Source organism: Homo sapiens, chromosome 3, assembly GCF_000001405.40.
Source record: "Homo sapiens chromosome 3, GRCh38.p14 Primary Assembly".
Classification (NCBI taxonomy): Eukaryota; Metazoa; Chordata; class Mammalia; order Primates; family Hominidae; genus Homo; species Homo sapiens.
In genome coordinates, this window is record NC_000003.12 from 196,944,734 (window position 1) to 196,972,137 (window position 27,404).

The window sequence follows — 27,404 nt, forward strand, 5'->3', positions numbered from 1 at the left end:
ACTTAGTTCTTTACCTTGTCTATGACACAGAGACCTTTGTTCACGTGTTTATCTGCTGACCTTCTCTCCACTATTATCTTATGACCCTGACACATCCCCCTCTCCGAGAAACACCCAAGAATGATGAATAAATACTAAGGGAACTCAGAGGCCGGCGGGATCCTCGTCTGCTGAATGCCGGCCCCCTGGGCTCCCTTTTTTCTTTCTCTATACTTTGTGTCTCTTTCTTTTCCAAGTCTCTCCTTCCACCTAACGAGAAACACCCACAGGTGTGGAGGGGCAACCCACCCCTTCACTACCCCTCATTTTAGAGGGTCAGGGATACAGACAGACTACGATCCAGCCAGTTAGCAGACCTGCGATTAGGAAATCCATTGTATATAGAAATGTCCTGTCATTTGAAGCTCCTAGCTAAATTTCTGATTTTTTTTTTGAGACAGGACCTAACTCTTGCCCAGGCTGGAGTGCAGTGGCACAATACTAGCTGTCACTGCAACCTCGACCCGTTGGGCCAAGCGATCTTCCTCCCTGGGACTCCCAAGTAGCTGGGATTACGGGCCCATGACACTATGCCCAGCTAATTAAAAACTTTTTTTCTGTTTTTTTTGTTTTTTTGAGACGGAGCCTTACTCTGTCACCAGGCTGGAGTGCAGTGGTGCGATCTCGGCTCACTGCAACCTCCACCTCCCGGGTTCAAGTGATTCCCCTGCCTCATCCTCCTGAGCAGCTGGGACTACAGGTGCGTGCCACCATGCCTGGCTAATTTTTTGTATTTTAGTAGAAACGGAGTTTCACCACGTTGGCCAGGATGGTCTCGATCTCCTGACCTTGTGATCTGCCCACCTCGGCCTCCCAAAGTGCTGGGGTTACAGGTGTGAGCCACCGCGCCCAGCCACAATTTTGTTTTGTTTTGTTTTTGGTTGAAATGGCATTGCACTTTGTTGCCCAGGCTGGTCTTGAACTCCTGGCCTCAAGCAGTTCTCCTGCTTCCGCCTCCCAAAGTGCTGGGATTACTGGTGTGAGCCACCACACCCAGCTCTGATCATTTCTAGTTAGGCAGCACAGTTAATCATGCAATCTAGAAAGCTTGAAGCCATCGGAAAAATTGAGGCTGGTAACCAGACACTAGCTGAGTGTTGTGTGTTCTCTGCCCTCTGGGGCAGGATGGGAGGGCTTGAGACCCACAGTTCTAAGGAGGAAGAACACCTGGCTCCCTAATCTGGGAAAATGACCCCCTTTTTTTTTTTTTCCCCCAAGACGGAGTCTTGCTCTGTCTCCCAGGCTGGAATGCAGTGGCTCTCGGTTCACTGCAACCTCTGCCTCCTGGGTTCAAGCAATTCTCCTGCCTCAGCCTCCTGAGTAGCTGGGATTACAGGTGCGTGCCACCACGCCTGGCTAATTTTTATATTTTTAGTAGAGATGGGGTTTCACCATGTTGGCCAGGCTGGTTTTGAACTCCTGACCTCGAGATCTGCCTACCTTGGCCTCTCAGTACTGAGATTACAGGTGTGAGCCACCATGCCCAGCCAGGAGAATGACTCTTAAGGACAAGGTGCAGAAATGGCTGGAGAGTTTCCCACCACCTCTCAGGAACAGGAGTAAAAGAAAGTAGGGAGAAAATCTCCAGTGCTATTATATATTTCAAACATTACTTGTTTGCATAATAACCAAACACTGAGACAGCAGGCATCAGAGTGCCATGAAGTACAACACAACTCCCACTTCCATGCTTGAAGAGCTTTGTGAGAGCTGTGCCTGTTGAGGCAGGGGACGTGTACTGTGGACTCCAGGAATGACACAATGTTAGCCGGCAGACACCTCAAAGTTCCTCTGATCCCAACAGACTGGGAAGTGGGGTGGGTGAGTGGAAGGAGCTTTCTCAAGATCACACAGCGAGGAGGTGACAGACCAAGGGGCCAGAAGTTGGGTCCCCTGGATCTGGGCCACCTGTTCTCTATACTTCGTCTCACTGACTTGCACATATTTCGATAGGCAGATGGGTCTTAGGAAGCCAGAGGGTTGTCATGACAGCAAGGGTAAGGCATCATGGGAGGTTTGGGAGAGGTCATTGAGGAATGTCACTAGCAGTTCATTGTCTTTTTTCACAACCAGGTACTATCACATATTTCAAACATCACAGTGGCTGGAAGCAACAGGGCAGGAACAGACAGGTGTCGTCACTTAACCTGGTCTTTGGGGACCTTGACATCAAGACCGACAGGTCAAATCTTTGGTCTCAGGGAGAAGAGTGCCAGCTCACCCAGAAGGCAGAACAGCTAACAGCCATGCCCAGGAGAGGCAGCAGTGGGAGTCATGAAGGAGGACGGGGTCCTGTCCCAGCGTCCCAGCCCAGCTACCCAAGTAGAAGGTGGGGCGGCATCTTCTATGGCTGAGTCTTGGGCAGTGGGTGCTCTGTCATATTGTCAGGTTTCTTCCCCCAGCTCCACAATGTGAAGACTGAGGTGGTCCCTCCAAGCCCCACTCAGCAAGGAGGACAGGGCTGGTGGATCCTCCAGGGTCAGATGGGGAAATAAAAGTGTTTCATTCTTGAAGGGGAAGCTGCACTTCTCCACGGCACGCCTGGTGGTGCCAGGGGTTACCACAAAGAGGCGGCAGAGCCATGGCCCACCAGCCACTTGGCAGGCTGGTTGTCTGGTGAAGCTTTTCAGGGTTTGGCACAGGGCCCAGTCCTCAGTCCCCCCCATGTCCACCACCTCCACTGGTGCCCCCAGGCCTGGGAGGTGTAGGAGGTGCCGGGGGGGCATGTAGGTGTGAGTGAAGAGGAGTGTGTAGTGGGTGGGTGTGCTTGGGAGCACAGGGGCATGGACCACCTGCTCCAGGTACTCCAGGCCAGGCACCAGGCCCCCCTGATGCAGGCAGCCGAAGAGGAGGGCACCGAGGGCGTTGAAGAGGACCACAGTGCCCTTCCAAGGCACAGGCTGCGTCTGTGGACTACAAAGCAGGACCAGGGGGACCAGGAGGGGAATCAGGAACCGAGCCTCCTGGTGGCTAAAGGCAGATAGCAGGGCCAGAGGCATGAAGTAGAGGAGAAGGAGATAGGACCTGGGGCTGGACAGCAGGCTCCGGGCACCCAGTGCCCTCAGGAGGCCCATTTGTGCAGAGGCCTGGAGGCCGACTTGCAGCCGTTGCCACGCAGCCTGCAGGGCCTGGGCATGCAGCACCCCGAAGAGCAGGAAGCCGTTGACTGCCAGGTGAGTGAGCCGCGCGTGCGTGCCATGTCTCGCCAGGTTTTGGGGATTCAGGTTGTAGTGCAAGAAGTTGACAGGTGTCAGGACAAGGTTCCTGGATGTAGCGGGGCTGGAGAAATACCAGCTGTCCGTGGCCACAAACACCGCTGCTGTGAGGGCTGCCCCAGGGAGCAGCACCAGGGCCTCCCGGGTCAGAGACTTCAAACCAGGGTTTGTGGCTCCACGAGTGCCCCAGAGGTAGAGGGGGACCACAGCAAAGGCCAGAAAGGTGGGCCGGTTGAAGAAGCCAGCAGCCACAATGCCTCCAAGAAGCCAGCTGCGCCACCGTGGACCCGGCGCCGGCTCCTTGCGTGTAGGGCCCCACGTTACATGGGAGGATACCAGCACCAGCAGCCACGTGAAGAGGAGTCCCTCAATGGTGTTGGAGAAGGTCCTTGTGTAGAAGACCAGGGTGACGTAGGAACCAGACAGCAGGGCCAGGGCGTTCCAGCGATCCGCCCCCATCGGCGGGGCCAGGTGGTACACGGCCCCGTCCAGAGCAAAGGAAAGGGCAGTGAGGAGGAGTCGAGGCCCCACCAGCAGCGCATAGCCGCTCACCAGGCCAGGCCACGGCCCCAGCTCCTCCCAGAGCCTGAGCAGCCAGAAGGTGGAACCAGAGATCAGCAGGGGGAAGAGCACCGAGCGGCAGGAGCTGCTGGGGTAAAACTCCCAGGGCCGCGCGGCCTGAACGCCCAGGATGTCCTCTGCAGAGAGAGGCAGAGGTGAGCCAGTACCAAGCTCAGGGATGTAGTGGGCAAAATTCTAGGAGGGCACCCCACATTTCCCACCCCTTGGTGTGTGTGCCCTGCGTAATCCCTGGGACTGTGCACGGGCTGGATTTTTCCTCCCTTCCCTCCCTCTCTCCCTCCTTCTTTCCCTTCCTTCCCTTCCTTCCTTCCCTTCCTTCCCCTTCCTTCCCTTCCCCTCCCCTCCCTTCCCTTCCTTCCCTTTACTTCCCTTCCTTCCCCTCCCCTCCCTTCCTTCCCTTCCCCTCCCCTCCCTTCCCTTCCTTCCCTTTACTTCTCTTTCCCTCCCCTCCCTTCCCTTCCTTCCCTTCCTTCCTTCCCTTCCCTTCCTTCCCCTTCCTTCGCTTCGTTCATCTCTGTCACCCAGGCTGGAGTGCGGTGGCGAGATCACAGCTCTCGCTATGTTACTCAGGCTGATCTCAGACTCCTGGCTTCAATCCATTCTTCCAGCACAGCCTCCTAATGTGCTGGGATTACAGGTTTGAGCCACTGCACCTGGCCCGCAGGATGGACTGTATCCTGAGATTAGGTTACTTATACAGGAGCACTGACTGTAAAATAGGGAGACTATGCAGTGGGCCGGACCTAATCACAACAATCTTTTAATAACAGAGTTTTCACCAGCTGGACGCAGAAGTGGCAGTGAGATTCAAAGCATGAGAAGGATTTGACATGCCACTGCTGGCTTCAAGACGGAAGAGGCCATTGGCTAGGAATGTGGGTGGCCTCTGAAAGCTAAGAGCAAGGAAGCCGCACCATAGGTTCCACAGCTGAAATGAACTAGATTCTGCTAGAATTAGAGAGCTTCCAGACAAGAACTCAGCCCAGTCCATACGCTGATGTCCACCTTGTGAGCAGAGAGCCCGTGCTGCCCTTCTGATGGACAGAACTGTGAACTCACAGACGGGTGCAGTTTGAGCTGCTCGTAGGATTTTGAGGATTTGTCAGGAGCAGCAGAAGCAAGTGCAGGGGAGCTCAGAGTGCAGAGGGCAGGAGGGGCTTCCCCGGGAGATGAGGTGGCAGTGTGTCCTGGGAAGAGTGTGTGGGAGGCGGGCAGGTGGGGGAGGCCTAACCTCTTCTCAGGGTTCCAAGATCTCAAAAGCCAAGGACAAGCACCCTTGTCCTTACACCTGTCAAGCTTGACAGAGCCGCATCTCTGATAATGATTGTTATCAGGAGATGGGGGGAGAGAAGAGGGGTAGGTGATGAGCCATCAGGGTTATGTCAGAGGTGATTTATGTTAGTTTTGTTTACAATACTTAAATTTTTTTTTTTTTAGACAGAGTCTCACTCTGTCACGCATGCTAGAGTCCAGTGGCGCTATCTTGGCTCACTGCAACCTCTGCCTCTGGGGTTCAAGTGATTCTCCTGCCTCAGCCTCCAAGTAGCTGGGACTACAGGCGCCCGCCACTGTGCCTGGCTGATTTTTGTATTTTCAGTAGAGATGGGGTTTCGCCATGTTGGCCAGGATGGTCTTGAACCCCTGACCTCAGGTGATCCACCCGCCTCAGCCTCCTGAAGTGCTGGGATTACAGGCGTGAGCCACTGCACCCTGCCTATGATACTTAAATTTTTTGTAAGAAGAATATATCCAAGTAGTACTTACATAATTTAAGAAATACTTGCTGCCTGTTCTGTAACCCTGTGCCCCAACGTCCCAGAGCTCTGAGGGGTGGGGGCGCGGGAGCAGCTCCACTCCAAGCCTCATTGTTCACAGCGTCTCTTGCTTGATCACCTGCTGGCTGTTTCGAGCTGATCATACAGCCTGCGGATCATTCGGGCTCTTTGATTCTGCTACTTATTTCTCCAGACTTTCAGCTGTTTTATCTATCTATGTTAGATGTTGAAAGGGAAGCAAAATCCAGGATCAAATCTATCTGGCTGCTTTTCTGGTTAAAAAACGACGTGAGGGAAAGAAGATGAGCCTTTTAACTTAAAAAACAAATTCACCTGTTGAGCCCTGTGGCAAAGAAAGCTGATGCCTCCAAAATATCTATTCCCTCCTCCTTCATTAGACTTTTTTTTTTCTTTTTTTGAGATGGAGTCTCGCTCTGTTGCCCAGGCTGAAGTGCAGTGGCACAATCTTGGCTCACTACAACCTCCACCTCCTGGGTTCAAGCAATTCTCCTGCCTCAGCCTCCCAAGTAGCTGGGATTACAGGCGCCTGCCACCATGCCAGGCTAATGTTTTGTATTTTTAATAGAGATGGGGTTTCATCATTTTGGCCAGACTGGTCTCAAACTCCTGACCTCAGGTGATCCACCTGCCTCAGCCTCCCAGAGTGCTGGGATTACAGGCGTGAGCCACTGCATCTGACTCCTTTGACTCTTTTTCTGGGCACTTGGTCAGATATAAAGACTATAATTTTTAGCTTCCTTTGCAGCTAGGTGTGGCCTCATGATACATTCTGCCCAGTGTGATAGAAATGAGCAAAAAGCATGCGCCCTTCAAAATATGACCTTAAAGAGAGAAGTAATGCCCTTCTCCTTTGTTGGCTGGAAAGACTGCCTGTAGGCTTGATGGCTGGAGCTCAAGCAGCCGTCTTGAACTATGAGGATGACCCCACATGCCCATCACATCTGAAAGGCCTCAAGGCCTTTGGGCGAGACGGTATGGGCCAGGCAACCAGCCTCATGATGTGTCCCACACCGCCTAACAGATGAGTGAGTGTCCCAGGTCTGGGTTCCCTTACCCCTCTCTTGAATCTACAGAAGAGAAGTTTCATGATCTCAGATCACAGCCCTATGGAAGCTCTTGCCAAACACTGGGGAAGCCTAACTCTAATAAAAGTGTTCCCATGGGAAGTCCAACACAGCTCTCATTCTGAATGACCTGTATTGTTGGTCCAAGCAGGGATACATCAAAGAGACTGGTGGTTTATTAGCATTACCCAGAAGGTCAGTGTCACCACTCGGGAAGGAGATATGAAGTCCCCACTTCCAAGTTCTTACCCCAGAGAGAGAGGCTGCTGCTCTGCTTGTGGATTTACTACTCATCTACCCAGACATGCTACTCCCTCCCCACAAAGTCTCCCGTCAGCTTCTCAAGCAGACTCTGCTGCAGCTTGTCTCAGCCACACATGCGGAGTTTTACCTGCCATCACCTCAGGGGACTGGAAGAACTCATCTGGGTGCACATAGCCCGTCTGCGGAAGGAGACACCACAGCACTCGGAGCAGGCTGAGACCACCCCAAAGCACCCTGACTGCCATCTTCAGATCCAGTTGTTGCCAACACACCGGGCCCAAAACCTGGAATGATGTCCCAGCTGCTACAGATGCTACGCTGGATCCACAGATCTGCATCTGTTGAGGATAACAGTTGTTGGTTATCACGATGTAAATTATAATATATTCAACTGTCTGAACAAACTGAAAATGGATCTGTCATTTAATAAAAATGACAATAATAATAATAGCTACTTCATACTCTATGCCCACTAACTGCCAGGCACGTGACATGCATATTTCATTTAATCCTTTCCACAGTCTGGAGCAGTGGGTCTTAGGATCCCTGTTGTACAGATGGGGAAACGGAGGCCTCTGCTGAGTAACTTGGTTACTTGCTGATCATATTTGCTAAGGAGTCTGATGGTTCATTTTATGTGTCCACTTGACTGGCCTAAGAGATACCCAGATAGCTGGTAGAACATTATTTCTGGCAGTGTCTATAAGGGTATTTCAGGGAGAGATTAGCCTTTGTTGTGGTTTTTTTGTTTGTTTGTTTTTTGAGACGAAGTCTTGCTCTGTCACCCAGGCTGGAGTGCGGTGGCATGATCTGGGCTCACCGCAACCTCCACCTCCCAGGTTCAAGTGATTCTCCTGCCTCAGCCTCCTGAGAAGCTGGGATTACAGGCACACGCCACTACGCCCGGCTAATTTTTGTATTTTTAGTAGAGACGGGGTTTCATCATGTTGGTGAGGCTGGTCTTGAACTCCTGACCTCATGATCCGCCCACTTTGGCCTCCCAAACTCCTGGGATTACAGGCGTGAGCCACCGTGCCCAGCTAAGATTAGCCTTTGAATTGGTAGACTAAGAAGATCAGCTGCACCAGTGTGGGTGGGCATGATCCAACCCATTGAGGGTCTGAATAAAACAGAAAGGTGGAGGAAGGGTGAATTTGCACTCTCTTCAGCTGGGATAGCCATCTTCTCCTGCCTCAGACATCGGTGCTCCTGGTTCTTGGGTCTTCAGACTCTATGTCTCACACCAGTGTGCCCCAACCCACCTCCCTGAATCAAGCTCTCAGGCCGTCGGACTAGGACTGGGAGTTACACTGTAGGCTCCTCTGTTTCTAAGGCTCCCGACTCAGACTGAATTCAACCACCAGCTTTCCTGGTTCTCCAGCTTGCAGGTGTCAGATTGTGGGACTTCACCAGCCCCCATAATTGCATGAGCTAATTTTCATAGTAAATGATAAAGCCAGTTCCCTATTGTTTCTGTTTCTCTGGAGAATCCTGACTTATACAGGGTCTAAATATGACATTTGCTCAATGTGACATTTGCAAGGAAGATCAGGGTACCCAACAAATCTGGGTCTTGCAGCCCATCCTGATCACCAGCTCCTATCCACAGGCCAGTATGGCAGGCTGCTTCTTGCATTTCTGAAAACTTGGGAAAGTCAACGGATGCCACCCATTTCCCTGCAAAAATTACACTCAACCCCATTGTTTCCAGTCACTCCCTCCAACTTTCACACACCCTGGAACCTGCCTTTTGGAAGGTGATGGGAACATTTGTAACTCTATATGATGAGAATCCTAACTCCCTCAACTCAAATATAGTATTAACTGCATCTCAGAAGTTTTCTATGTAACTCAAAGAGCAGTGACAATCTGAGCCCATGGCATGCTGGATCTGTAAGTCCACAGCATCACTGCTGAACAGGAAAGCAAGCTTGACAACCTGCTTGTCCCTCCTCCAGAAATAGTGATGTTGCCCTGACTTCTTGATATTTTAAATTCTGACCTTAAATAGTTCTTGCTCTCAGGTGTAATGTCAGGTGGCTCACACCTATAATCCCAGAACTTTGGGAGGCTGAGATGAAAGGATCGCTTGAAACCAGGAGGTCAGACCAGCCTGGGCAGCAAAGTGAGATCCCCATTTCTACGAAAAAATAGCTGGACACAGTGGTGTGTGCTGGTAATCCCAGCTATTCAGGAGGCTGAGACAAGAGGATCACTTGAACCCAGGAATTTGAGGCTGCAGAGAGCTATGATCACACTACTGCACTTCTGCCTAGGTGACAGAGCAAGACCCTGTCAAAAAAAAAAAGCCAGGTGCGGTGGCTCACACCTGGAATCCCAGCCCTTTGGGAGGCTGAGGCAGGCAGATTGCTTTAAGTCAGGAGTTTGAGACCAGCCTGGCCAACATGGCAAAAACCTGTCTTTACCAAAAAAATACAAAATTTAGCCAGGTGTGGTGGTGTGCACCTGTAATCCCAGCTACTCGGGTGGCTAAGGCATGAGAATTGCTTGGACCCAGGAGGTGGAGGTTGTGGTGAGCTGAGATCACACCACAGCACCCTAGCCTGGAGGACAGAGCAAGACTCTGTCTCAATCAATCAATAAAAAGTTTTTTTTAAAAAGAAAACGTTGTTAACTATAGTTACCCTACTCTGCTATCAAACATTAGAAATTAAATCTTCTAACTGTAGTTTGTACTGTAGCTTATATTCTAAACTGATTTTTATTCCTAATATTGGTTTACTTGTGCATTCTTTTTTCTTTCTTTATAATCGTCACCAGAATTGTGTTGATTTTGCGAATTTCTTCAAAACATCAACTTTTGCCCTTGTTTTTAATTTCTTTGCTCATCTTTATTTTTTCTTTCCTTTTACTCTTTTGGGTGATTATTTCATTGTTTTATTTCAGATTTTTTGCTATGAGCACAGCTCGTTAATTTGGAGCCTTATTTTCTATGAGAAGTGTTGAAGGCCACACAGTTTTCTCTAAATTAGTATTAACTGTACACTGCAAGTTTTGCTATGTAATAATTTCATCAACTTTTGGTTCTAAATATTTCTAATTGCCATTGTAATTTCTTCCTCCACAAATGCCTTATGGTTGAAGGATTTAATTTTTAATGGTCATTTTTGTAGATATTCCATGGATGCTTGAGAACACCATACATTCTATACTTACTGGATATGGAGTTCTATAAGTTGTCATTAGATCAAGCTTATTAGTTGTGTTGTTGAAATCTTTTTTTTTTTTTGAGATAGGGTCTCACTGCGTTGCCCAGTCTGGAGTGCAGTGGCACGATCATGGCTTACTGTAGCCTCGACCTCCTGGGATCAAGCGATCCTCTGACCTCAGCCTCCTGAGTAGCTAGGAAGACGGGTATGTGCCACCATCCTTGGTTAATTTTTAAATTTTTTGTAGAGACAAAGTCTTGCTATGTTGCCCAGGCTGGTCTTGACCTCCTGCGTTCAAGCAATCCTCCCACCTTGGCCTCCCAAAGTGCTCGGATTACATGCATGAGCCACCTTGCCTGGCCCAAATCTTTTATATTCTTAATTTATTGATTTTTTACTGCTTATTTTATCAATCACAGAAATGTGTGTTGAACTAGCTCATGAAATAGTTGACTTGTCTAATTTTCCTTGTAATTCTGTCAATTTTAGTTCATTTTTGAAGCTATATTATTATATTTGTAGAAGTTTATAATTGTTATGCCTTATTGGAAAATTGAATATCTTATCATTATATAGTAATCTTTTAATCTCTAGTTCTGTTTTGTCCTAAAATATATTTTTTCTGATATTACTGTTGCTATACACACTTTTTGGAAACTTAGTATTTACCTGGTACATCATTTTCCAGCCTTTTCTTTTCTTTTCTTTCTTTCTTTTTTTTTTTTTTTTTTTTGAGATAGTCTCGCTCTGCTGCCCAGGCTGGAGTGCAGTGGCATGATCTTGGCTCACTGCAACCTCTGCCCCTCCTGGGTTCAAGCGATTCTCCTGCCTCAGCCTCCCGAGTAGCTGGGACTATAGGTGCGCACCACCACGGCTGCCTAATTTTTGTATTTTTAGTAGAGACGGGGTTTTGCCGTGTTGGCCATGCTGGTCTCGAACTCCTGACCTCAGGTGATCTGCCCACCTCAGCCTCCCAAGATGCTGGGATTACAGATGTCAGCCACTGCGCCCGGCCAATTTAGGGTTATTATTGATACATTTATTTATACCATCTTATTTTGTGTTTTCTTGTCTTGTTTTTTCAATTTTTTTTGTCCTTTCTTGCCTTCTTTTGAATTAGTTTTTTTTCTCTTTTCTCTAACAGTTTGGAAGTTACATATACTCAGTTTCCAATATGCTATAAAATACCATATATTATTTAATATTTTAATATTTAGTATACTATGTTATGTGTCTTCACTATGATTATTCTGGGTGCACATTTCTTTTTATTTATTATAGTCGAAAGTTTTTTGGCTTCTCGAACCTGTGGATTAGGACCCTTTGTCATTTATAGAAAGTAATCCTTCATTAGACTATATGCTGCTGATAAAGACATACCCGAAACTGGGTAATTTATAAAGGAAAAGAGGTTTAATGGACTCACAGTTCCACATGGCTGGGGAGGCCTCACAATCATGGTGGAAGGCAAAGGCACGTCTTACATGGCAGCAGGCAAAAAGCGAATGAGAAGCAAACGAATGAGAAGCAAGCGAATGAGACGCAAGCAAAGGGGGTTTCCCCTTATAAAACCATCAGATCTCGTGAGACCTATTCACTACCACAAGAACAGTATGAGGGAAACCACCCCCATAATTCAATTATCTCCCACCAGGTCCCTCCCACAGCATGTGGGAATTATGGGAGCTATAATTCAAGATGAGATTTGAGTGAAGACACAGCCAAACCATATCACAGACCTTCTCAGTCTATCTTCCATGTCTCTTTAAGTTCTATTTCATATTTTCCATATCTTTAGCTCTCTTGGCTATATGTCGGGTAAGTTCTGTTCTATCTTCCATGTCTCTAATCATCCTTTCAGCTGTATCTAGATGTTAAACCTGTCTATGGAGTTTTAAATTTCAGTTGTTATATTTTTCATTTCTACAAGTTGTTTGATTTTTTTCCACATCTGCTTGCTCTTTTGTGATATTTTCAAGACTCTCTTTTATTTATTAAATGATATCAAACATACTTGTTGGATATACTAGGTTTGATAACTCCAGCATCTAAAGTCTGGATCTGAATCTGCTGTCTTGTTTCTGCTGGATCTCACTCATAGTGCCCTGTTTATTTGTATAGTTAGTGAATTATTTTATTTAGTGAATTATCTCATTTTCTTTGGAATATTACTGTGGGAATTCTTTGAGGTCAGGGATGAGGCAAATTTCTTAGTTCCTCTTGAAGGGATTTACACTTGCTTCTCTCAGGTAACTGTGGGCATTACAAGCCTAGGACCATTTCTAATCAAATTTTTGGCTCCAGGTTTTGTGTGTGTGTGTGTGTGTGTGTGTGTGTGTATGTGTTTATCTTTTAGGAAGGGGGATAGTGCCTGGTCATGTAAATTCATGAGGGCAGGCTCATGATTACAAATTCTGAAGGGAGATAGCCCACCCCCAGCTCAATTTGATTAGCATCAGGATCCAACAAGGGCAGTTTTCCTTTCAGTCCTGTAGGGATGGAATAATTTTTTTCTTCCTTTTTTTTTTTTTCTTTCCGAGACAGAGTCTTGCTCTGTCACCTAGGCTGGAGTGCAGTGGCATGATCTCGGCTCACTGCAGCCTCTGCCTCCCAGGTTCAAGCAATTCTCCTGCCTCAGCCTCTTGAGTAGCTGGGATTACAGGCGCATGCCACCACACCCAGCTAATTTTGTATTTTTAGTAGAGACGGGGTTTCATCATGTTGGCCAGGCTGGTCTCGAACTCCTGACCTCGTGATCCGCCGGCCTCAGCCTCCCAAAGTGCTGGGATTACAGGCGTGAGCCACTGTGCCCGGCCAAATTTATTTCTTAGGCCACCTTTATATTAGAACGTGGCCCTCCAGAGTCACAGTTTTGCGGGGAGTCTCCTGTTAGGCTTCCCTCCGGGTGGGCAGTAAGCTTTATCTTCTGTCCTGCTAGTCCCGAGAAGCTACCAAGTCCTGAAAACCTAATTTGCATAACCCAACTTTGAGGGTATCTACAAAAAATAGCTTTTTGTTTCCTAGTCTTTACAGTACAATAAGACACCCTAGAAGGAGATAGAAATAGTGGAAGGGGTCCCTGCTGTCAAATGGCATGCAATATAGAGGCCTGAAGTGGCCAGTGGTTTGGATAATGAGGAAGCCAAGGAGGCTCTCAAATTCACAGTTTTGTATGTATCCTCAACTCCAAACCTGGCTCCTGGCTTTGCATACCTCTCTAAGTCCCTGTCTTCATGCCCAAGTATTACTTACATTTTCTTCGGCTTACATACTATTTTATCCAGCATTTTAGTTATTTTCAGCACTTTATTCCTTTTATAATTCAAGGACAACTTTCCACTTGTGTCCTGTTTAACAACCTTTATTTTTTTTTTCTATTCATAAACATAATACAAAATTGTTGTAGAAAAAGTAAAAAGTGCAATAAGCCAAAAAGGGAAAATGGAAATTACATGCAGTTCCTGTCACTCAAAAAAACACTGTTAGGCCGGGCATGGTGGCTCACGCCTGTAACCCCAGAACTTTGGGAGGCTGAGGCCGGCGGATCACCTGAGGTCAGGAGTTCAAGACCAGCCTGGCCAACATGGTGAAACCCCGTCTCTCCTAAAAATACAAAAATTAGCAGGGCGTGGTGGCGGGCGCCTGTCATCCCAGCTACTGGGGAAGCTGAGGCAGGAGAATCGCTTGAACCTGGGAGGCGGAGTTTGCAGTTGGCCAAGATCGCGCCACTGCACTCCAGCCTGGGGGACAAGAGCGAGACTTCGTCAAAAACAAAAAACAACAAAAAACAAACAAACAAAAAACACTGTTAACATTTTGATATATGATTTTCTTGGAAAATATAGGATTATATTTGTTTATTCTTATATATCTACACTTTGGCATAATGTTGGCATGAGAAATAGTCATGTTGAGAGTTAAGACAGGGATTGAGAAAAGCTAAATTAGTTTAAGCCGTGTCAAATTATTCTCAAGGAAGTCATATATTTAAGGGACAGCCTTGGTCAGCGGATCCTTCTGGTCATGATTTGGGGGAGGGGGGCAGGAAACATGAGGGGATTGTGTTGCTATCACAGGATGTGTCTCAAAACTACTATGCGGGAACTTGTATATCTCCACAACTGCTGAAGGCATCTGCTGAGGGTGAGTGGGAACGGAGGATGCTATACCTAGGTCTCTGAGCTGGGCTCCAGAAGAACGGATGGCAGGCTGTTCCTCAGCGTATGGGAAGGTGGGCAAGTTGGCATCATGACTTCCGCTATGGAGCAAGCCAGTCTCATGGGCATGTGGCCTTCGATAGCATGGCTCTGCTGTCCTCTATCTCACCCTCGCCCACTCTTATTTTGCCCTCCAGTTACTACACACCCCTGCCCAAGCCTGTGCCATTGCCTGGGGCTGCTCCATCTCAGTAGTGTAGCTTTGCAACATTGAAATTGAGTTTTGTCTCTATAAGGGATGTCTGACCATTCAGTGAGTATTTTCAATGTATCTATTATATATTTGTAAATGGAAGGGGATCATACAATGTTTGCTTTAAAATTTGTTTTGTCACATAGGAAAGTATGACCATCTTTCCATATATCATGAGCATCCCCTCCCACCAGCTGCAAGTTCTCCTTCCATCATGCATCTACTCCTTCCCTCTGTTCTCTTTGGTTGACACCTTCCTTTCCATTAATAAACACGTTCATCTCTCTACCATTCTTAGAAAAACAACCAACCAAAACTCCCTTGAAACTGTATGTCCCCTCCTTCTACTACTACCTTTCTCTCCTCCTCCTCCCTTCACAGGGATCCTCAAACCATCTGCATTCACTGAATTCACTCCTCGCTTTTTAATTTCAATTTTTTTTAGAGAGGGGGCTCTCGCCTCCTTGGCTTCCGCGTTGTCAAAACCATTGGCCACTTCAGGCCCCCCACACTGCCTGCCATTTGACAGCAGGGATCCTTCCACTATTCCTAGCTCCTTCTAGGGTGTCTTACTGTACTGTGAGGGGTAGGAAACAAAAAGCTACATTTTGTGGACACTCTTGAAGTTGGGTTATGCAAATTAGGTTTTCAGAATCTAGAAAGCAGATGTGAGACAGGCCATATTTTTTGCAGTTTTCTTTGTTTTCTCCTGGGAAACAAGATCATTGAAGACATGGGATGTTCGTGCATCAGCTTTCCACTATCCAGTCCCCACTTTGTGGGAATGGAGGACACAGTTGCAGTTATGGTGGCCACAGTACTGTGTTACAAAACCCAGCTAAGTTCTACAGGTGGCTTTACAGTAGCCTGACTGTTACAGGAGTGGTCGCTCCTTTATGGAGTTACTTCTGGGTGTTCAGAGAGATTTTCCTGGAGGCCCAAATAGAGGTCATTTTTCAGTGTACCGAATGATTTTTACTACCTATTTGCCTGTATCAAATTCCTTTTCTGCTGGCTTCTATTTCTTGTACTGAACCTTCACCATTTGGTATCAGAAGTGGCTGTAGCCAATAGGCCCTTAAGGATGACAATATTCATTTGCTAAAAGAAAATAACGGCTGGGAGCGGTGGCTCACACTTTTAATCCCAGCATTTTGGGAGGCCGAGGCGGGTGGATCACCTGAGGTCAAGAGTTTGAGACCAGCCTGGCCAACATGGTGAAACCCTGTCTCTACTAAAATGACAAAAATTAGCTGGGCGTGGTGGTGTGCACCTGTAATCCCAGCTACTCAGGAGGCTGAGGCAGAATTGCTTGAACCTGGGAGACAGAGGTTGCAGTGAGCCGAGATTGCATGACTGCACTCCATCCTGGGCGATAGAGCAAGAACCTGTCTCAAAAAAAAAGAAAAAAGATGAAAGAAAGAAAGAAGAAAGGAAGGAAGGAAAGAAAGAAAAGAAAGAAAGAGAAAGAAAGAAAGAAAGAAAGAAAGAAAAGAAAACAACTACCTGCCTATCCTTTATGCCCAGAAAGAAAAAAATCTTTCAAGAACAAGGACAAAATAAAGATATTTTCAAGAAAACCAAAACTGAAAGTTCTTCACAAGCAGATATTCAGAAAATTATAAAGAATATATATCAGGCAGAAGGAAAAATGGTTCCAGATAGAAGTTCTGAGACGGAAGTAGGAATAAAGAGCAAAATAAGTTGGTCATTAAATGAGAGACATGTGGAAGGTGGAAGTCAAATAAATACCATCTTCCTGCTGCTTTGACTGTTTCCTTCTAGCGAGTAAGGTATAGGAGATGGATACAGTTTCTGAAGTAGTATTCCATGCTCATTCACCGGCTTCGTTGGGTGCTGCTGACAGGCGGCTGTGGTGGTTGGGCAATGGCTTTCTAACCCTGAGTCATAATTAAAGTGCTGTGTTCTTGAATGCAATAGTTCCAGTGCTGGTCTCCTGAGTCCTCACTTTCCTGATACGGGACAGAAGTAGTAGCTCCATTGGTCAGTTTTGCAGTGTTCTAGGAGTCATTCCTGGGGATTCAGCCTAGAGCTTGATCACCCAACCCTTCCAAAGGTTTTGTAAGCAGCTAATTCCCTATATTAACTCCTTTTTGCATAAAACATTTAGTTGTTTGCAAACAACAACAGCAAAAACAATGCAAGCTGCTTCAACAATTCATCATGTTGCCAGGTGTGGTGGTGCACCCCTGTAGTCCCAGCTCCTTGGGAGGCAGAGGCAGGAGGATTGCTTGACCCCAGGAGTTCAAGGTCAGCCTGGCAACACAGCGAGACCCCCATCTCTTAAAAGAAAAAGCAGGAAACAATTGATCATGTCACATAAAAAAACAACCAGACTTGGTACTGCCAGGGTCCCTTGCCGCTTCTCAGGTCAGCCTTGATGCTGCCTTTCTCTTTGTGTGGACATAATCCTCAGTTCCAGCCATCTCGTCCAGACATGACAAACTGAGAAGTGTCTGTATTTTTGAGGCTATCTCTTTTTAAAACAGGTTTATTGAAATATAATTAATATACCGTATAATTTTAAAGTGTACAATTCAATGGTTTTTGGTATATTCGTAGACAGGTGCAACCATCACCACAGTCAGTTTTACAAATTTTCATCACTCAAGAAGAACCCCATATCATTTAGTTATCACCTCCCATCCTTGTCCACCACCCCAGACTCTGGAAACCACTAATCTTCTTTCTGTCTCTATAGAATTCCCTATCCTGAACTTCCATATGAATGAAATCGTAAGGTCTGTATGGGGAAAAGAAAGAGAGATCAGACTGTTACTGTGTCTATGTAGAAAAAGGAAGACATAAGAAACTCCATTTTGATCTGTACTAAGAAAAATTCTTCTGCTTTGAAATGCTATTAATCTGTAACCCTAGCCCCAACCCTGTGCTCACAGAAACATGCGCTGTATTGACTCAAGGTTAATGGATTTAGGGCTGTGCAGGATGTGCTTTGTTAACAATGTGTTTGAAGGCAGTATGCTTGGTAAAGGTCATCGCCATTCTCCAGTCTTGAGTACCCAGGGACACAATGCACTGTGGAAAGCCATGGGGACCTCTGCCCAAGAAAGCCTGGGTGTTGTCCAGGCTTCCCCACACTGAGACAGCCTGAGATGTGGCCTCGTTGGAAGGGAAAGACCTTACATTATAGTCCCCCAGCCGGACACCCATAAAAGGTCTGTGCTGAGGAGGATTACTGAAAGAGGAAGGCCTCTTTGCAGTTAAGAGGAAAGCATCTGTCTCATGATCCCCTGGGAATGGAATGTCTTGGTGTAAAACCTGATCGTACATTCTATTTACTGAGATAGGAGAAAACCGCCCTATGGCTGGAGGTGAGACATGCTGGTGGCAATACTGATCTTTACTGCACGGCAATACTGATCTTTACTGCACTGAGATGTTTATGTAAAGTTAAACATAAATCTAGCCTACGTGCACATTCAGGCATAGCACCTTTCCTTAAACTTATTTATGACACAGAGTCTTTTGTTCACATGTTTTCCTGTTGACCCTCTCTCCACCATTACCCTATAGTCCTGCCACATCCCCCTCACTGAGATAGTAGAGATAATGATCAATAAATACTGAGGGAATTCAGAAACCAGTGCCGGTGCAGGTCCTCACTTGCTGAGTGCCGGTCCCCTGGGCCCACTTTTCTTCCTCTATGCTTTACCTCTGTGTCTTATTTCTTTTCTCAGTCTCTCGTCTCCACCTTGCGAGAAATACCCACAGGTGTGGAGGGGCAGGCCCCCTTCAGTCTCTGGAGGCCTTTGTGGCTGGCTTCTTTCACTTAGCAGAATGTTTTCGTGGTTCGTCCGTGTTGTAGCAGGTATCACTACGTCCTTACTTTTTATGGCCAAGTGATATCCCATTGTGTGGATATACCATATTTTGTGTGCCCATTCATCCATTGATGAACCTCTGAGTTGTTTCCATGTTTTGGCTATTGTAAACAGTGCTACTATAAACTTTTGTGTACAAGTTTATTCGTGGACATATGTCTTCATTTCTCTTGGTATATACGTAAAGTCCCTGCATCCTATGGTAACTTTATGTTTAATCATTTGGGGAAACTTCCAGGTTGTTTTCCAAAGTGGCTGTATCATTTTACATTCCCACCAGAAATGTATGACGGTTCTAACCAACACTTGTTATCTGACTTTTGGGTTCCATCCATCTCAGTGGGTGTGAAGTGGTATCTCATTGTGGTTTTGATTTGCACCTGCATTTCTCTTTAAGATCAAGGAAATCTTTTCCAGAAGTTCACCAGCAGACTTTCTATCAAGTGCTGTTGAACAGAACTGCATCAAATACACCTTCCCAAACCAGTCACTGGCAAGGGAAATGAGATTACTGATGAAGACTCACCTCCTGGGTTGGAGCTGGCACTGTGGGAGCTTACCCTAACAACAGGTTCTGTTAGGAAGGAGGAAGGAGGCAGAGGATCAGCTAGCTGTGTGGCTGCTACACGTGGCTTCCACGGGCTCTCACAGCTTTCCTCCTCCTCAGGCCATTTGTTCTTAGGCTTCTCTTCCTCTGTCCACCCCTTAAATGTCAATGTTCCTGGTCTTCAATGTCCTCCATATACACTCTTTTGGATCATCTCATTTATTCTCATGGTTTCCATTTCTACTTGATGCCTTCTGAAATTGCTTCTTTTCTGAGCTTCGGATTTACTGATAATAATAAGGAATAGTATAACAATAATAATAGCACTACCTTTTTTTATTTGTTTGCTTTTATTTTTATTTTTATTTATTTATTTATTTATTTTGAGACGGAGTCTCACTCTGTCGCCCAGGCTGGAGTGCAGTGGTGCAATCTCAGCTCACTGCAAGCTCCACCTCCCGGGTTCACGCCATTCTCCTACCTCAGCCTCCCAAGTAGCTGGGACTACAGGCGACTGCCACCAGGCCGGCTAATTTTTTGCATTTTTAGTAGAGACGAGGTTTCACCATGTTAGCCAGGATGGTCTCGATCTCCTGACCTCGTGATCCGCCCACCTCGGCCTCCCAAAGTGCTGGGATTACAGGCATGAGCCACCGTGCCCGGCCTAGCACTACCATTTTTTTTTAATTTTTTTGAGATGGAGTCTTGCTTGTCGCCTAGGCTAGGTGCAGTGGCACGATCTTGGCTCACTGCAACCTTTGTCTCCCAGGTTCAAGCGATTCTTCTGCCTCAGCCTCCTAAGTAGCTGGGACTACAGGCACGCATCACCACGCCTGGCTAATTTTTGTATTTTTAGTAGAGATGGGGTTTCACCATCTTGGCCAGGCTGGTCTCAAACTCCTACCTCATGACCCACCTGCCTCGGCCTCCCAAAGTGCTGGGATTACAGGCGTGTGCCACCGTGCCCAGTCTAGCACTGCCATTTATTAGATACATATTACCTTCCAGGCTTTGTACCTTATCTTATTTAATTATGGGAAGTCTATAACCCTATCCTTTTTTTTGTTTTTTAAGACAGGGTCTCACTCTGTCACCCAGGCTGGAGCGCAGTGGCATGATCTCAGCTCATTGCAACCTCTGCCTCCCAGGCTCTAGCAATCCTCCCACCTCAGCCTCTATGAACCTATTCTTATCCCTGTCTTACACACAAATGAACAGGCTTTTTGCAAAAGGTAACGGAACTACTAAGTTGGTGGAGCTGGAAGATGGACCCGGTCTGTTTGACTCCACTGCCCTGCTCCACTGCCCGTTAGGCTTCTGTACCTGCTTCAAACACAGGGCAGCCCAAAAGAACTCATCACCTTCCCTGGAATGAGCCCTGTCCCCATGCTCCCTACAGCAATGAGGAAACTACCATGTATTAGTGTCCCACACTCCTGGTACCAATTTACTGTGTTAATCTATTCTCACACTGCTATAAAGAACTGCCCAAGACTGGGCAATTTCTAAATAAAAGAGGTTTCATTGACTCACAGTTCTACATTGCTGGGGAAGTTTCAGGAAACTTACAGTCATAGCGGAAGGGGAAGCAGGCACCTCTTCACAAGGTGGCAAGAGAGAGTGTGAGTGGAGGAAATGACGGACGCTTATGGAACCATCAGATCTCATGAGAACTCCCTAACTATCCGAAGAACAGCGTGGGGGAAACCACCCCATGATCCGATCCTCTCCCACCGGGTCTTTCCCTCAACACTTGGGGATTACAATTCAAGATGAGATTGGGGCGGGGACACAAAAGCCTAACCATGTCATACCATTTGCCCAATTTAGTCCAGAATCCCACGGGCTATCTCCCTCCTCCTTTGTCCCTGCACTACGTAATGCCAACGTTGCTTGCTAATTATTCCTTGAACCCAGCTCTTGTTCCTCATTCTCCACTGTCATTGTCTGAGTCCAGGTATGCTGTGACTGGTGTGCATGTACCTGGGATTTCTTAGCCTTAGGGGTGGCTGGCTGTGCAGAATCTTTGGATGGCTGGAGGCCCTGGGTTGGTTGTTTCTGTTTGCAAACAGCCCCCTCCTTTGTTAACCAGTGTGTCATATAACAGCAATCATTTTCTGTGGATGAATAATGAGGGAGATGGTAAGAAGCATGACCTGGAGTAGACTGCACCGCCATCCGCCTCTCCACTTTCCCTCTCTCACTGCATCCTTCCTTCTGACTGCGGCAGAGACAGGCCGAATCACTCCCCTGTGAGAAACCTCTGGATGGGGGGCCATCCCCTCACCACCCTGAGGACCAGGTCCACATTCCTTACTGTGGCTGACAAGGCCCTCCATAGCTTCCAGTGTCCCCTTCCCGCCTCCACTCCTGTGTTCGTGAGTAGAATTCGGTGCTCCAGAAACATCACGCCTTTCTGCAGCCCTCTCCTCTATTCCGTGCTGTTTCTCACCCCAGCTTCTTGGCTCACACGGTTTCACTTACCCAATACGCTAATAACATGGAGGTTAAGACCAGCGGTGGCATCAGGTAACCCGGTTCAAGTCGTTGCTCTCTGTCACTTGTTCATGGTGAAAGCACTCAATCTCTCTGAACCCCAATTTATACCTCAGCTTTAAAACAAGTACCTATCTCAGGGCTGTTGTGAAGATGAAATGAAGAAAATATGCAGACATAAGTGGTTGCTTTCTTTATCCATCTTGCTTAACTGCCCTAACCCCCAAGAAGTCTTCCCTAACCCTCCTTCTGAAGGACCCTGTGCAAAACTCTGCAGGCGCCATGCGCTGACTGTTGTCTGATTATTTCTCTGCCCTGCTTGGCTGAGGTCTCCCAGGCATGGAGTCCCTTTGAGATTCATCTCCAGCCTGGGTGGGCCCACTGGGGCCCATCTGTCAAGGACAGAGCAGGAGGTCCTCCGGAGAAGGTGACAACGTAGTGGGGCATCGACCATAACAAATGCGGGAGCTCCAGGGAACGACCCCCGCCCGCTGGCGTCTCTCCAGTCTGAGACCCCACTGGAGGAGCTGTCCATGTGGCTGCCTCTCGCCTTTTATCCCAGGGGACAGAGCCAACGCCAAGCATGGCAACCACCCACCTTAACCTAATCAGGATGCAGCCTGCTCATTAATTCATTCATTCATTCAGAGGGATCTGTCCGGGTGCGGGTCCAGCACGGGTCCAAATCCTGCATCTCCAGTAGCCTCCTGGGGGTCGGTCGTCGGGAGGGCTCGTGAGCGGAAGGCTTTAGGATGAAGCGACAGGGCCCAGAGTCGTGGAGATTGGACTGGGGGGCAGGGGAGCAGGCATTGACAACCACGCCGACAGGGGCATCCCGCGCGCCTGTGTGGGAGAATGTGTAGGGCAAGCAGCAGGGAGAGACCATCTCAGAGACAGGGGAACAGCCAAGCAGAAACCACTGTGCTGGGCGCGGGGGGAGGCCGGGAAAGACAGCACATCTGCGGGGCGGGAGGAGGGGAGGGAAGGGAGTAGAAACACTGCTCCCGCCAGCCGCGGGTGATGGGGACACGTGTCCAGCTCGCTGAGTCCGAGGGCCTGGGCCCGCTTTGGGTGCCCTGTTTCTCCGGCGCCCAGGTGTGTGCGCAGAACCGTGTCTGCTCCAGGGACAGCCGTGAACGAGCGCCGTCCGGAGTGGCAGGGCCATCAGGTGTGGCTCATTCCAAGAAAGGTCCGTACCTTCACATGTAAACTTCCTGGCAAAGCTGCTGGGTTGCCGCTTATGGGAGAAGGCGGCGGGCCCAAGGTTCGGCCCCTTTGTCTGAATCTGGCATTTGGAGCAGGCTTTAAGACTTCGGGAAAAGCCGGGCCCCTGTGCAACCACCAAAGGCTGCTTCTCCCGCCCTCAGGACTAAGATCTTGTTCCAGTCCTCCAGTCCTCGGGGTCTACTCCAGGGGTACAAGGTGAGAGTGGCTCTCCAGAGTCCATTTGCCTTTTGGTGCCGCACTGCATCCTCACTTTGACCCTGAGCGCTGCAGTAAGCCCTGCAGGGTGCTCCACCTTGAAGCACGGGAAGATCTGATGCTGGCCGCCTTCTTCCTTCGGTTGCCTGAAAGGGCCCGTGTTTATCCTTCGCTTCACAGAGAACGCAACACACAACATTAAACACACATAGAGAGTGAAAGAGAACAAGGCATCTTCATCAAGGAGGGCGCACCATTTAACCACCCGCGACCTTGCAGTGCGCCTCTGCAAAGTGGGGACTCCGCTCTGTAGCAGGAGATGGGGGTGTTGACGATTTTGAAAGTAGTTCTCAGTTTTCCGAGGCAAAGGTGTCTGGGGCTGACGAATGACTTTTGAGAAGAAGGAATGATGAGAAATGTCCTCATTACAGAACTTTCCCGGCCACACTGTGAGTCCCACGCAAAGACCCCATGACCACCAACCGGAGCGCTGGGTGCTCCCTGGCAGGGTCACCTTTGCTTTTTGCGCGCCCCCATGCCACCCCTGGGGCAGGAGGCCATCCTCTTATCCTGGGAGTGCAGGCCTGGCCCGAAGTGCAGCCCCCGAGGCCGGGAGCCGAGATTCTTCTCGGCTTCGTGCTCAGAGCTTTGCAGCGTGGCATGGTTTCCTCCTCTTGCCCTGTTGCTGTTTCATACCAGGGGGAACTGAGACCCAGTCGGGTTATGGGCCTCCCTGAGAACACTGGCCTCTAGCAGAAGCAGATTCAACCCCAGGCCTCAACCTGCGCCCAGACCCGTGCCCTGGAGTGGAGTTTACCCACTGCCGCCCTTCCTGGGCAAATGTCACCGCTGCCTCCGTCCCCCTAGGTCCGGGGCGGGTCAGTGCTTCGAGCCAGCGGACCCCGGCCTAGGGACAGGTGCCTGCGAGAATGCGGGGGGCGGCCCCCAGCTCCCCTGCCCTCCTCCCTAGAGGCTGGGCCTGCTGGTCTCCCGGCTGCGCGCAAGGTGGGAACGCGGCCGACTTGGTCCGCTCGCCCTCCCCGCACCCGCTCCTCTGGAGCCGCTGGGGCTGCGCACCGACTCACCCGCGCGGCCTCCGGGCTGCGCCTTCAGCGCTGGCGGCGTCCTGCCCGGCGAGGGCCAGGGTCCCAGGAGGCCCCGGAGGCGGCGGGACCGCAGGGCGGAGGGGAGGCCGTGGGAGCGGCCGGGCGCGCCTCAGCAGCGCGGAGACTGGGGCCGCCGCCGCCGGCGCAGGGCGGGCCGGGAGGGAGGAGGAGCGCGCGGGCGGGGCCGCCGTGTACGTCCCCGCGCTCCCGCCCGGCCTGGCCCCGCGGTCCCGGAGCGAGCTGGGGCCGCGCTGGGGAGGGTCCTGGGGGCGCCGCCGTCCCTCGGGCCGGGCAACGCCGGGCGGGGACCGGTCTCGCCCCGCCGCGCTCGGGCTCCCTCCCCGGCGGCCCCTCCTCGGCGAACAGCCTTTCGGCGCGGGGGGCTGTTAAACCAGACACCCCAGGCCACACTCCTCTCGTTCGAAATGACCATTTCGGGGTTCTCCGTGGCGGGGAGCTCCGCCGCCGCCGTCCCCCTTCCACGCGCGGGAGGTCGGCGAGGGCAGGGCGGGGACCCGGAGTGCGGCCCCCGGTCCTGCTTCGTGGCCCGAAACGCCTCGCAATGGAGTCACTCATGACAGGGGACTCAGCGCACGGGGCGGCTGCTGAGCCCCGCAGCGATCGGCGGGCGTGAGGGGTTCCCCGGCGTGGTTGCCCGGGAGCCTGTCAGCCCCAGCAGCCCTGACAGGAAAGGGAAGTCGAGAGGAGGCTGAGCGAACGGCCGCCACCCCCGCGGGACGCTGACCCGGGCGGACCCCGAGGGGCCTCTCCCCGCGCCAGAGCGCGGCGTGCGCGGGGAAGCGCGACCCACCGGGGTCGGCGACGGCGCGCGGGGCGGGCGCGGCGGTTCCCTCTCCTCCGCCCGTGCCCGTGGGATCGGCGGGCTTGTCGGGCTGGGAGAGCCTCGTGGAACCCGGGCATCCGGGCAGCAGCGGCCTCCGAGCCACTGTGGAGGCGCCCGGGGTCGGCACGGCGAGGCCGACGGGGACCTGACACGGTCACGCGGCGCCGGGGAGCAGGTTCGAGTGGCCGGGCGTGGCCGTGCTGCCCCTCCGCGTTCCGCAGGCGGCGACGGGCGAGCGGCCCTAGCGGGCTGCAGGGAGGACGCCGCGTGGACGGAGAGCCGGCGCCCGGGGGCCAGATCCCCTCCCGGGACGGGGCGCCAGGTCCCCGCGAGCTGCGGCGCGACGCGCGGGCACCCGTGTCCCACCCGGTGGCCTCGCCGCTGCGGGCTGCGCTGAGAGCGGGGTGGCGCGACGCGGTCCCTCACCGCAGGGGGAAGACGGCACCACCGCGTCCCGGCCGCTGGAGCTTCCCGCCCGCGCCGCCGGCCCGACGCTGCCCCCTGGCGGGAGAGCGCTGCAGGGGCCCCGGCGAGGCCGCAGGACCCGACCTCCCCGCCGGCCTCGCACTCCCGCGCCGCCGCCGAGGGTCGGCAGCCGGATCGCCCTCCGTGCCCCATAGCACCCCTCACACTAAAAACGACGACTTTATTAAGATGTGAGGTATTCTATACATACGATAAATACCAGGAAATTTAAGTACAGTACATGGAAGTATACAGTTCCATGAATTTTTTCCTTTATTTTTTAGATACAGGGTCTCTGTCGCCCAGGCTGGAGTGCGGTGGCACGATCTCGGCTCACCGCAGCCTTGAACTTCTAGGCTCCAGCGATCCTCCTGCCTCAGCCTCCCGAGCAGCTGGGACCACAGGCCCCGCCACCATGCCCGGCTCAGTTCCATGACTTCTGACACGCGAAACCACCAGGCTAGTCTCCCCCCGAGTTCAAGAAGTCCTCTCCTCCCAAAAGTACCCTCCTGCCCCTCTGCAGCTAACCCCTCACCTCCCCTCCGCCCTGGTTCCAGACAACTGCTCCTCTGATTTCTGTCACTGCCCTTTGCCTCTCTCGCAATTGCATGCAAGGAGAACCATTCACCGTGTGGTCTTTTGTGCCTGGCTTTCTTCGCTTGGCACCATGCAGCTGAGCGTCGCCCGTGTGGCGTGTGTGTGTTGTATTTTCCTCTACCTTGGTCTTGAGACCTCCCTGGAGAGCCACTGTAAAGGCCAACTCTGCCCTGACAGGGCTCCTGGGATTTGGGCGTGGGTGTTTGCCGTGGGCCTTTCATGGGGCACCTCTGTATCCTGGCTGACCTGTGACCGGGTGTCCCTCTCCCAGGAGACATATTTATCCTGGCAGATCTCCTTGTGCTTCTTGTCTGACCTGTATCTAGTTTATTCCTACCAAGATAGCTGCTCTCTAGGGAAAGCCCTGACCAGGGAAAACGTTACGTTTGAGCGTCTCAGTCAGGCATGACACAGAGCAGGCAACACAACGAAACACAGGAACTAACAGAAGTGGTCCTATTACTTACAGATCCACAGGGGAAGAGGGCACACTGAGGGCCGTCGGGAATGTCTTGGGGACACTGTACACAATCGTTGTGGGGGTGGGGGGAGCCAGAGAGAGACGGACCTGTGGGCTGAGGCTTTTATTGGAGTGCAGGGCATTACTCAAGCAGTTTTCCCAAGGGGAGCTCTAATTGGTTCACCTAGAGGAGCGAACTGGAGTCCTGTGGGGCCACCTTGTGACTTAGGGGTGGTCACTGAGACATATCTGCATAGTCCATGCAGGGTGTGGGCGTCAGTGGGGTGAGTCTAGTTGGTTGTATGTATACATCCCACAAGGAGGCAGTTACCAGGAGGTGGCTACCTAGGACCAGATATCTGGACGGAATGTGTTGAGATACTGTTTCCAGCAGAGAGCTGGAAACTGTATCCAAGGTGACTAAGCCCTGCTTCTAGTATGAAATTGTTAACCCTATATTCAAAATGGATACTGAAGCAACCTAAAATTTCAGGTATTTACTAAAGTGTGTATCAAGTTCCCTCCTTACCACTGGTGAGTAGTATTCCATTGTATGGATATGCCACAGGCTGTTTGTCCATTTGGACATTGATGGATGGACTAAAGTTGGCCAAGCTGGGCTGGTGGGGAGGCACCCTCTCAGGACCCCAAAGGAGGATGCGGGGTTGTTGTTGGATGTCTGGGTTGTTTCCAGTTTGAAGGCATTGTGAATAAAACTGACTTGAGCCTTCCTAGAAAGTTTTTTGAATATACATATGTTTCATTTCTCTCGGATAAAATGCCTGGAAGTAGGCGGGATGGCTTGGTTGCATGGTGAGTCTTTTTTTAAAAAAATTTATTTAATTAATTAATTAATTAATTTTTTTGAGACGGAGTCTTGCTCTGTAGCCTAGGCTGGAGCGCAGCGGCACCATCTCAGCTCACTGCAAGCTCCGCCTCCCGGGTTCAGGCCATTCTCCTGCCTCAGACTCCCATGTAGCTGGGACTACAGGCGCCTGCTACCAAGCCCGGCTATTTTTTTTGTATTTTTATCAGAGACAGGGTTTCACTGTGTTAGCCAGGAT

The 27,404-nt window shown here is 50.2% G+C and overlaps 2 protein-coding genes across 8 annotated transcripts, besides 13 other annotated features; one reads left to right on the forward strand and one right to left on the reverse strand.

The window, feature by feature from the left end:
- Positions 1-1,622: 1,622 nt before the first annotated feature.
- Positions 1,623-24,100, reverse strand: PIGZ (phosphatidylinositol glycan anchor biosynthesis class Z (Gwada blood group)). Of its 7 annotated transcripts, XM_047448993.1 has the most exons (5): positions 23,954-24,100; positions 21,435-23,040; positions 20,934-21,067; positions 7,088-7,298; positions 1,623-3,952 (listed from the first exon to the last, which is right to left on the reverse strand). In XM_047448993.1, the coding sequence occupies exons 3-5, from the start codon at positions 21,048-21,050 to the stop codon at positions 2,424-2,426; spliced, it is 1,857 nt and encodes a 618-aa protein (XP_047304949.1). In that variant the 5' UTR covers positions 21,051-21,067; positions 21,435-23,040; positions 23,954-24,100; the 3' UTR covers positions 1,623-2,423. The 7 variants fall into 7 exon arrangements, with proteins under 7 accessions (XP_047304949.1, XP_011511494.1, XP_024309535.1 ...); XM_011513192.3 differs by lacking the exon at positions 21,435-23,040; XM_024453767.2 differs by having other exon boundaries at positions 20,934-23,040.
- Positions 3,351-4,098: an enhancer, noted in NCBI's record as "H3K27ac-H3K4me1 hESC enhancer chr3:196674955-196675702 (GRCh37/hg19 assembly coordinates)". NCBI's record gives its function as "activates a minimal SCP1, AML or CMV promoter by ChIP-STARR-seq in naive and primed H9 embryonic stem cells {active_cell/tissue: H9 hESC(naive and primed)}" and the evidence as "EXISTENCE:reporter gene assay evidence [ECO:0000049][PMID:30033119]".
- Positions 6,625-6,919: a silencer, noted in NCBI's record as "tiled region #11589; K562 Repressive non-DNase unmatched - State 22:ReprW". NCBI's record gives its function as "represses a minimal TATA promoter and a strong SV40 promoter by Sharpr-MPRA in K562 cells {active_cell/tissue: K562}" and the evidence as "EXISTENCE:reporter gene assay evidence [ECO:0000049][PMID:27701403]".
- Positions 23,677-24,212: an enhancer, noted in NCBI's record as "H3K27ac-H3K4me1 hESC enhancer chr3:196695281-196695816 (GRCh37/hg19 assembly coordinates)". NCBI's record gives its function as "activates a minimal SCP1, AML or CMV promoter by ChIP-STARR-seq in primed H9 embryonic stem cells {active_cell/tissue: H9 hESC(primed)}" and the evidence as "EXISTENCE:reporter gene assay evidence [ECO:0000049][PMID:30033119]".
- Positions 23,677-24,269: a biological region, named in NCBI's record as "H3K27ac-H3K4me1 hESC enhancer GRCh37_chr3:196695281-196695816".
- Positions 23,820-24,269: a silencer, noted in NCBI's record as "silent region_15074". NCBI's record gives its function as "represses an Ori minimal core promoter by ATAC-STARR-seq in GM12878 lymphoblastoid cells {active_cell/tissue: GM12878}" and the evidence as "EXISTENCE:reporter gene assay evidence [ECO:0000049][PMID:35858748]".
- Positions 24,213-24,748: an enhancer, noted in NCBI's record as "H3K27ac hESC enhancer chr3:196695817-196696352 (GRCh37/hg19 assembly coordinates)". NCBI's record gives its function as "activates a minimal SCP1, AML or CMV promoter by ChIP-STARR-seq in naive H9 embryonic stem cells {active_cell/tissue: H9 hESC(naive)}" and the evidence as "EXISTENCE:reporter gene assay evidence [ECO:0000049][PMID:30033119]".
- Positions 24,330-24,539: a silencer, noted in NCBI's record as "silent region_15075". NCBI's record gives its function as "represses an Ori minimal core promoter by ATAC-STARR-seq in GM12878 lymphoblastoid cells {active_cell/tissue: GM12878}" and the evidence as "EXISTENCE:reporter gene assay evidence [ECO:0000049][PMID:35858748]".
- LOC124906255 (collagen alpha-1(I) chain-like) lies at positions 24,400-27,078 on the forward strand. Its single transcript, XM_047449439.1, has 3 exons — positions 24,400-24,516; positions 24,663-25,479; positions 25,568-27,078. The coding sequence occupies exons 1-2, from the start codon at positions 24,400-24,402 to the stop codon at positions 25,476-25,478; spliced, it is 933 nt and encodes a 310-aa protein (XP_047305395.1). The 3' UTR covers position 25,479; positions 25,568-27,078.
- Positions 24,550-24,609: a silencer, noted in NCBI's record as "silent region_15076". NCBI's record gives its function as "represses an Ori minimal core promoter by ATAC-STARR-seq in GM12878 lymphoblastoid cells {active_cell/tissue: GM12878}" and the evidence as "EXISTENCE:reporter gene assay evidence [ECO:0000049][PMID:35858748]".
- Positions 24,720-24,779: a silencer, noted in NCBI's record as "silent region_15077". NCBI's record gives its function as "represses an Ori minimal core promoter by ATAC-STARR-seq in GM12878 lymphoblastoid cells {active_cell/tissue: GM12878}" and the evidence as "EXISTENCE:reporter gene assay evidence [ECO:0000049][PMID:35858748]".
- Positions 24,720-25,439: a biological region, named in NCBI's record as "H3K27ac hESC enhancer GRCh37_chr3:196696353-196696888".
- Positions 24,749-25,284: an enhancer, noted in NCBI's record as "H3K27ac hESC enhancer chr3:196696353-196696888 (GRCh37/hg19 assembly coordinates)". NCBI's record gives its function as "activates a minimal SCP1, AML or CMV promoter by ChIP-STARR-seq in naive H9 embryonic stem cells {active_cell/tissue: H9 hESC(naive)}" and the evidence as "EXISTENCE:reporter gene assay evidence [ECO:0000049][PMID:30033119]".
- Positions 24,890-25,209: a silencer, noted in NCBI's record as "silent region_15078". NCBI's record gives its function as "represses an Ori minimal core promoter by ATAC-STARR-seq in GM12878 lymphoblastoid cells {active_cell/tissue: GM12878}" and the evidence as "EXISTENCE:reporter gene assay evidence [ECO:0000049][PMID:35858748]".
- Positions 25,220-25,439: a silencer, noted in NCBI's record as "silent region_15079". NCBI's record gives its function as "represses an Ori minimal core promoter by ATAC-STARR-seq in GM12878 lymphoblastoid cells {active_cell/tissue: GM12878}" and the evidence as "EXISTENCE:reporter gene assay evidence [ECO:0000049][PMID:35858748]".
- Positions 27,079-27,404: the final 326 nt, after the last annotated feature.

Excerpts from the sequence above, each read along its gene's own strand:
- PIGZ (XM_024453767.2), bottom strand. The coding sequence starts at position 21,128 with ATGGCGGTGCAGTCTACTCCAGGTCATGCTTCTTACCATCTCCCTCAT. Across the intron at positions 7,299-20,933 it reads CTAAGGCTAAGAAATCCCAG|ATGCAGATCTGTGGATCCAG; the intron begins GTACATGCACAC and ends TATCCTCAACAG. Across the intron at positions 3,953-7,087 it reads GTCCCCTGAGGTGATGGCAG|AGGACATCCTGGGCGTTCAG; the intron begins GTAAAACTCCGC and ends CTCTCTCTGCAG.
- LOC124906255 (XM_047449439.1), top strand. The coding sequence starts at position 24,400 with ATGACCATTTCGGGGTTCTCCGTGGCGGGGAGCTCCGCCGCCGCCGTC. Across the intron at positions 24,517-24,662 it reads GCGGCCCCCGGTCCTGCTTC|GAAAGGGAAGTCGAGAGGAG; the intron begins GTGGCCCGAAAC and ends CAGCCCTGACAG.